This window comes from Homo sapiens, chromosome 6 (genome assembly GCF_000001405.40).
Source record: "Homo sapiens chromosome 6, GRCh38.p14 Primary Assembly".
In the NCBI taxonomy this organism is placed as follows: Eukaryota; Metazoa; Chordata; class Mammalia; order Primates; family Hominidae; genus Homo; species Homo sapiens.
Genome location: NC_000006.12, coordinates 57,387,592 through 57,396,300, shown reverse-complemented (window position 1 = coordinate 57,396,300; position 8,709 = coordinate 57,387,592). Strand labels below are relative to the sequence as shown.

Genomic DNA, 8,709 nt, shown 5'->3' with positions numbered 1-8,709 from the left:
AGACATAAGAAATGAGATAGCAAGACAAAACAGTGGGAGACTTCAATACCCCACTGATAGCACTAGACAGGTCATCAAGACAGAAAGTCAACAAAGAAACAATGGATTTAAACTATACCTTGGAACAATTGGACTTAACAGATATTTACAGAACATTTCATCCAACAACCTCAGAATACACATTCTATTCAATAGCACATAGAACCTTCTCCAAGATAGACTATATGACAGGCCATGAAACGAGCCTCAATAAATTTAAGAAAATTGAAATCATATCAAGCACTTTCTCAGACCACAATGGAATATAACTGGAAATCAACTCCAAAAGGAACCTTCAAAATCATGCAAATACATAGAAATTAAATAACCTGCTCCTGAATGAGCATTGGGTCAAAAACAAAATCAAGATAGAAATTATTTGAACTGAATAACAATAATGACACAACCTATCAAAACCTCTGGGATACAGCAAAGGCAGTGCTAAGAGGAAAGTTCATAGCCCTAAATGCCTACATCAAAAAGACTGTAAGAGCACAAATTGACATTCTAAGGTCACACCTCAAGGACTAGAGAAACAAAAACAAACCAAACCCAAACCCAGCAGAAGAAAGGAAATAACCAAGATCAGAGCAGAATTAAATGAAACTGAAACAAGAAAAACAATACAAAAGATAAATGAAACAAAAAGCTGGTCCTTTCAAAAGATAAATACAATTAATAGACCATTAGCAAGATTAACCAAGAAAAGAAGGGAGAAAATCCAAATAACATAACTAAGAAACAAAACAGGAGATACTACAACTGACACCACTGAAATACAAAAGATCATTCTAGGCTACTATGAACACCTTTATGCACATAAACTAGAAAACCTAGAAGAGATGGATAAATTCCTGGAAAAATACAAACCTCCTAGCTTAAATCAGGAAGAATTAGATACCCTGAACAGACCAATAACAAGGAGCAAGATTGAAATGGTAATTTAAAAATTACCAACAACAAAAAGTCCAGGACCAGATGGATTCACAGCAGAATTCTACAGACATTCAAAGAAGAATTGGTACCAATCCTTTTAAAACTATTCTACGGGATAGAGAAAGAAGGAACCCTCCCTAATTCATTATATGAAACCAGCATCGCCCTAATACCAAAACCAGGAAACAACATAACCAAAAAAGAAAACTACAGACTGATATCCTTGATGAACATAGCTGCTAAAATCCTTAACAAAATACTAGCTAACCGAATACAACAACATATCAAAAAGATAATCACCATGATCAAGTGGGTTTCACACCACAGATGCAGGGATGGTTTAACATATGCAAGTCAATAAATGTGATACACCACATACACAGAATTAAAAACAAAAAATCACATGATCATCTCAATAGATGCAGAAAAGGCATTCCACAAAATTCAGCATCTCTTTATGATTAAAACTCTCCACAAAATCAGCATACAAGGGACATACCTTAATGTTATAAAAGCCATCTATGACAAACCCACAGCCAACATAATACTGAATGGGGTAAAGTTGAAAGCATTCCCTCTGAGAACGGGAACAAGACAAGGATGCCCACTCTCACCACTCCTCTTTAATATAGTACTGGAAGTCCTAGCCGGAGCAATCAGACAAGAGAAAGAAAGGGCATCCAAATAGGTAAAGAGGAAGTCAAACTGTCGCTGTTTGCTGGCGTTATGATCGTTTACCTTGGAAACCCTAAGGACTCCTCCAGAAAGCTCCTAGAACTGATAAAAGAATTGAGCAAAGTTTCCAGATACAAGATTAATGTACACAAATCAGTAGCTCTGCTATACACCAACAGCAACCAAGCAGAGATTCAAATCAAGAACTCAATCCCTTTTACAATACCTGCAAAAAAATAAAATAAAATACTTAAGAATATACCTAACCAAGGAGTCAAAAGACCTCTACAAGGAAAACCGCAAAACACTGTTGAAAGAAATCATAGATAACACAAACAAATGGAAACACATCCCATGCTCATGCAGGAGAAAAATCAATATTGTGAAAATGACCATACTGCCAAAAGCAATCTACAAATTCAATGCAATCCCATCAAAATACCACCATCATTCTTCACAGAATTAGAAAAAAACAATTCTAAAATTCATATGGAACCAAAAAAGAGCCCGCATAGCCAAAGCAAGGCTAAGCAAAAAGAACAAATCTGGAGGCATCACATTACCTGATTTCAAACTATACTATAGGCCATAGTCACCCAAACAGCATGGTACTGGTATAAAAACAGGCACACAGACCAATGGAACAGAATAGAGAATCCAGAAATAAACCCAAATGCTTACAGCCAGCTGATCTTCAACAAAGCAAACAAAAACATAAAGTGGGGAAAAGACACCCTTTTCAACAAATGGTGCAGGGATAATTGGCTAGCCACATGTAAGAGAATGAAACTGGACCCTCATCTCTCGCCTTATGCAAAAATCAACTGATGATGGATTAAGGACTTAAACCTAAGACCTGAAACTATAAAAATTCTAGAAGATAACATTGGGAAAACCCTTTTAGACACTGGCTTAGGCAAGGATTTCATGACCAAGAACCGAAAAGCAAATGCAATAACAACAAAGATAAATAGCTGGGACCTACTTAAACTAAAGAGCTTTCACATGGCAAAAGGAACAGCCAGTAGAGTAAACAGACAACCCACAGAGTGGGAGAAAATCTTCACAATCTATACATCTGACAAAGGACTAGTATCCAGAATCTACAACAAACTCAAACAAATCAGTAAGGAAAAAAACAAACAAACAATTCCATCAAAAAGTGGGCTAAGGATATGAATAGACAATTCTCAAAAGAAGATATACAAATGGCCGGCAAACATATGAAAAAATGCTCAACATCACTAATGATCAGGGAAATGCAAATTAAAACTACATTGCAATACCACCTTACTCCTGCAAGAATGGCCATAATCAAAATCAAAAAACAGGAGATGTTGGCATGGATGTGATGAACAGGGAACATTTCTACACTGCTGATGGGAGTGTAAACTAGTACAGCCACAATGGAAAACAGTGTGGAGATTCCTTAAAGAACTAAAAGAATCAAGAACTGCCACTTGATCCAGCAACACTACTGGGTATCTACCAGAGGAAAAGAAGTCATTATTCGAAAAAGGTATTTGCACATGCATGTTTATAGCAGCACAACTGACAATTGCAAAATCGTGGAACCAATCCAAATGCCCATCAATCTATGAGTGGGTAAAGAAACTGTGGTGTGTGTGTGTCTATGTATATATATATATAATAAGGAATACTATGCAACCATAAAAAGGAATAATTAACAGCATTTGCAGTGACCTGAATGAGACACTACTATTCTACGTGAAGTAACTCAGGAATGGAAAACCAAACGTCGTAAGTTCTCACTGATATGTGGGAGCTATGCTATGAGGATGTAAGGCATAAGAATGATACAATGGACAAAAAATAAGACTACAAATAATGGTGTAGCGTATACTGCTCGGGTGATGGGTACACCAAAAATCTCACAAATCAACACTAAAGAACTTACTCATGTAACCAAATACCACCCGTACCCCAATAACTTATGGAAAAATTAAAAATAATAAAAATAAATAAAAATTTGGATATCCACAAAAAAAAAACGAATATTTTCCTTCTCCCTCTCTAGGCTATTAGTGGCCCTTCTATTCCATGAAAACTATGACTGTCTTTATCAGTTCTATGTTCCTTTTTATTTGAGACCTAATTTTTCACTAGCTTTGGATTTAGGAAAGAATTTTGATATTTGATAAATTTTTGGCTATTGCAAAACTTTTTAGAATCAGATGGATTAATAAACTATAAATATAATGTAAATGCTAAGAATAAGGGAGAATAAAGTCACTATTCAGCTATTATTAATTCAAAAAAAAGAAATGAAGGGCAGGCATCCAAATAGGAAGACAGGAAATCAAACTATCCCTGTTTGCAGATGATGTAATTTTATATCTAGAAAATTCCACAGTCTCAGTCCAAAAGCTCCTTCAGCTGATAAAGACCTTCAGCAGTTCCAGGATACAAAATCAATGAACGAAATCGCTAGCATTCCTATACACCAACAAAAGCCAAGCTGAGAGCCAAATCAACAAGGCAATCCCATTCACAATTGCCACAAAAAGAATAAAATACCTAGGAATACAGCTAACCAGGGAGGTGAAAGATCGCAACAATAAGAATTACAAAATACTGCTCAAAGAAATCAGAGATACACAAATAAATGGAAAAACATCCCATGCTCATGGACAGGAAAAGTCAATATCATTAAAATGGTCATACTGCCCAAAGCAATTTATATAATTCAGTCCTATTCCTATCAAACTATCAATGACATTCTTCACAGAACTAAAAAATAAATAAATAAAAACTATTTTAAAGTTCATATGAAACTAAAAAAGAGTCCGAATAGCCAAGGCAATCCTAAGCAGAAAGAACAACGCTTGAGGCATCACACTACCAATTTCAAACTACAGCACAGGATACAGTAACCAAAACAGCATGGTACAGGTACAAAAACAAGCACATAGACCAATGGAACAGAACAGAGAGCCCAGCAATAAGCCCACACACCTACAACCATATGATCTTCAACAAAGCTGACAAAAACAAGCAATGGGGAAAAGAACCCCTATTCAATAAATGGTGCTGGATAACTGGCTAGCCATATGCAGAAGATTGAAGCTGGACTTTTCCTTATACCATATATAAAAATCAACTCAAAATGGATTAAAGACTTAAATGTAAAATCCAAAGCAATGAAAACCCTGGAAGACAACTTAGGCAATACCATCTGGACATAGGAATGGGCAAAAATTTCATGACAAAGACACCAAAAGCAAAAATTGGCAAATGGGATCTAACTAAACTTAACAGCTTCTGCACAGCAAAAGAAATTATCAACAGAGTACACAGACAACCTACAGAATGGAAGAAAATACTTGCAAACTATGCATCTGACAAAGGTCTAATATTCAACATCTATAAGGAATTTAAATATACAAGAGATAAACAACCCCATTAAAAAGTGGGCAAAGGACATGAACAGACACTTCTCTAAAGAGGACATACATGTGGCCAAGAAGCATATGAACAAAAGTTCAGTATCAATTGATCATTAGAGAAATGCAAATCAAAACCACAATGAGATACCATCTCATACCAGTCAGAATGGCTATTACTAAGAAGTCAAAAAATAACAGATGCTGATGAAGTTGCGAAGAGGAGGGAACACTTATACACTGTTGGAGGGAGTGTAAATTAGTTCAACCAATGTGGAAAGCAGTATACTGATTCCTCAAAGAGCTAAAAGCAGAACTATCATTCAACCTTGCAATCCCGTTACTGGGTATATACCCAGAGGAATATAAATCATTCTACCATCAAGACATATGTACACCAATGTTCATTGCAGCACCATTTACAATAGCAAAGACATGGAATCAACCTAAATGTCCTTCAGTGACAGACTAGATAAAGAAAGTGTGGTACACATACATTATGGAATACTATGTAGCCATAAAAAAGAATGAGATCATGTCTTTTGTGGGAACATGGATGGAGCCTGAGGCTACTAACTAGCAAACTAACCCAAGAATAGAAAACCTAATACCACATGTTCTCACTTAGTGAGAGCTAAATGATGAGAACTCTTGCACACACAGAAAAGAACAACAGACACTGGGGTCTACCTGAGGGTGGAGGTTGGGAGGAAGGAGAGGAGCAGAAAAGGTAACTATTGGGTACTGAGTTTAATACCTGGGTGATGAAATAATCTGTACAACAAGCCCCCATGACATGAGTTTACCTATGTAACAAACCTTCGCATGTACCCCCAAACCTAAAAGTTAAAAAAAAAGAAATATGTGTTGAATAGACAACAGATTGTAAACTGCATCTTAGAAAAAGGTTAACAAACCAGTATCTCACAAATAGAACAACAATCAAGTTCAGCTGAGCATCCTCAGTCAACAAACCTGTCAAACTAGAAAGAGCATATGCTTATTTTCCCCCGAAAAATGATTTTTTTTCTGTTATTAGGTTGGCGCAAAAGTAATTGCAGTCTTTGCCATTAAAAGTAAAGAAAAAAACCACATTACTTTTGCACCATCCTAATAGTCTCATGGCTTTCAACTGCAACGTTTTGTTTCCCACAGATCAGCAGCAAGGGAGACCAAATGAACTGGTGCCTGACAGTAATGGTGGAAGTGAAAGCATGTTATGCTTGCATATCGTGATATGCTACTTGCATATTGATGGATTTGCTGCAGCACTGACAAGTTCACAGTGACCCACTTTAAAATGGCATTAAATGATCAGTATATTTAAAAAGACATGTTAACCAGAACCCAAGAAATCAGCTAGTTGTACACAAATAGTAAGAAAACTCCTATATGATTCCCAACTAAGTAACCATTCAAGAAAATTAATTATATTTAATCACAGTTTAAGGAAGAAAATTGAACACTACTTTTAAAAAGAGGATACAAGATTTAAGAGGATTCCAAACTCTTTAGAAATAAAAATTACCTGATCAAGTGCCTACAAAGCATATTTTTCCAAACGAACAAATAATTAGTGAGCCACAGACCCAACTGGTACTTTCTAAATGTGAAAAAGGAAATCCTTTTCAAAAAAGAAAATCCTTGCTTTTCTCTGTGACTCCAAGTAAGAGCCACTTACCTGCCTTTCAATTATCTTCCTGGGAACTTCTCAGTCCTTTTTTCTGTATCTAAATAAGATGTGTATAAATACATTTTTTGGAAGTCTGGTTTCTTTAACGTTTTACCAGTACCTTCTAAAGATGAGTCTCACAAATAGAAAGTGAAATTAAGGCCAGGCATGGTGACTCATGCCTGTAATTCCAGAACTTTAGGAGGCTCAGGTAGAAGGATCACTTGAACACAGGAGTTCTAGACCAACCCAGGCAACATAGGGATATCCCCAACTCTACATAAACTTTTATTAATAAAAACTTAGCCAGGCACTGTTGGCACAGGCCTGTGGCTCCAGCTACTTAGGAGGCTAAGGCAGGCGGACTGCTTGAGCCTGGGAGGTCAAGGCCATGGTGAGTTGTAATTGCACCACTGCACTCCAGCCTGGGTGACAGAGTAGAGACCCTGTCTAAAAATAAAAAATAAAAATAAAAATAAATAGTCACACTGTGTGAGGAGAAAGAGATTTTTGCCTTAAAGAAATCCAGCTCCAATTTAAGGATCTGCCCCATTTTCTAACAACAAATGAAGTATGTTCTCTGCTTAATGAAATCAAGTGGAAGTGTATGGAAACCAAGCTCAGCTGTGGGCCCCCTCTCTTCTCCACTGACATCCCACACTCTTCCTGGAGTCTCATGGCTGCACATTCTCCTCCCCAAAAATTTAGACACTCAAATCCAACTTCAAACTTGCCATCTCCATTTGTGTAACCAATAAGCACCTTCTACTTAACGTGGTCAGAATAGAACTCTTTATTTTATTTTACATATTTTTCTCGGAGTCTTCTACATCTTGGCAAAGGCATCACCCCCTAATAAATTATTCAAGCCAAAATTCTAGGCAGTGTAATATAATGGTCAAGAACATAGACCTTGATGCCAGACTGTATGGATTCAAATCCTGCTTCTGCTCCTCACTACCTGTATAAAGATACTACAAGCCTCAGAGAGTGATAATGGTACCTGCCTTATAGGGTTACCATAAAGACTAAATGCATTAATTCATATAAAGCATTTAGAATAGCACTTGGCAAATATTAAATTTTCACTATGCTTAAGCTCTCATCATCATCATCATTATGCTGATTCTTCTCTTTCTCTCACAACCAATCCACCATGTCAATATTACTTTAAAAACTAACTGAAATCCACTGACTTCTGTCAGTCATATCACCACAACCAATCCATTTCAAGCCACTATCTAGATTAATGTGAAAACTTCCAGACTAGTCCTCCCGCTTCCATTCCTTTTTTATCCTCCAAAATGGCTTTCAAGCAGCAGCCACAGTCATCTATTTAAAACATAAATCAGATCATATCACTCACTTATTCAAAATCATCCAATGTCTTTCAACTACATTAGGCTAAAAAAAAATCAAACTCTTTACCCTGGGACTCTACCTCAAAGTCTCACAGAGTCTACACCTAGCCATTGCAGCCTCACATGGTAGCACTCTACCGTAGCTCACTATGCTCTAGCTACACTGGCCTTTTTGATTCTAAAAAAAAAGGCCAAGATTCCTCCCTTTGGGGGCCTTTGCATTAGTGACTTTTCCTGCCTGGAATGCAGTTTCCTCTATATTTGTTCAGCTGGCTCCTTCATGTCATTTACAATATTGTTATTGTTTATTTCTTCAGTAATTGTCTGTCTCCCACTAGAATATAAGCTTTGTAAGAGAAGAAATCTCATCTAATTTGTTAAGTAGTATCTCTAGTACCCAAACCTATGCATGGATGAACAAATAAAAAGTTATTTAAAAATAAACCATTAAATAAAAGAACTGGCTATAGCTTCTAAAATTGCCATATGAAGCAAAAAAAATCTATCTTTCCCTCATTCTTTTCCCTAACTGGTTATCAATCTATTCTACCGTAGCTCCAAATTCACCCCTTGGGCCTGCTCTGTGACTGGACCTTAATATACTTACCTTTGAATATTTTAT

At 36.5% G+C, this 8,709-nt stretch overlaps 1 protein-coding gene and 1 non-coding gene across 8 annotated transcripts in view; both read right to left on the bottom strand.

Moving 5' to 3' along the window:
- The window catches only part of PRIM2 (DNA primase subunit 2), a 425,311-nt gene that overhangs the window by 250,550 nt on the left and 166,052 nt on the right, over positions 1-8,709 (bottom strand). The window lies entirely within an intron of this gene.
- MIR548U (microRNA 548u) lies at positions 6,089-6,169 on the bottom strand. The gene has a single exon (NR_036097.1). It is a non-coding gene; the product is annotated as a microRNA 548u (primary transcript).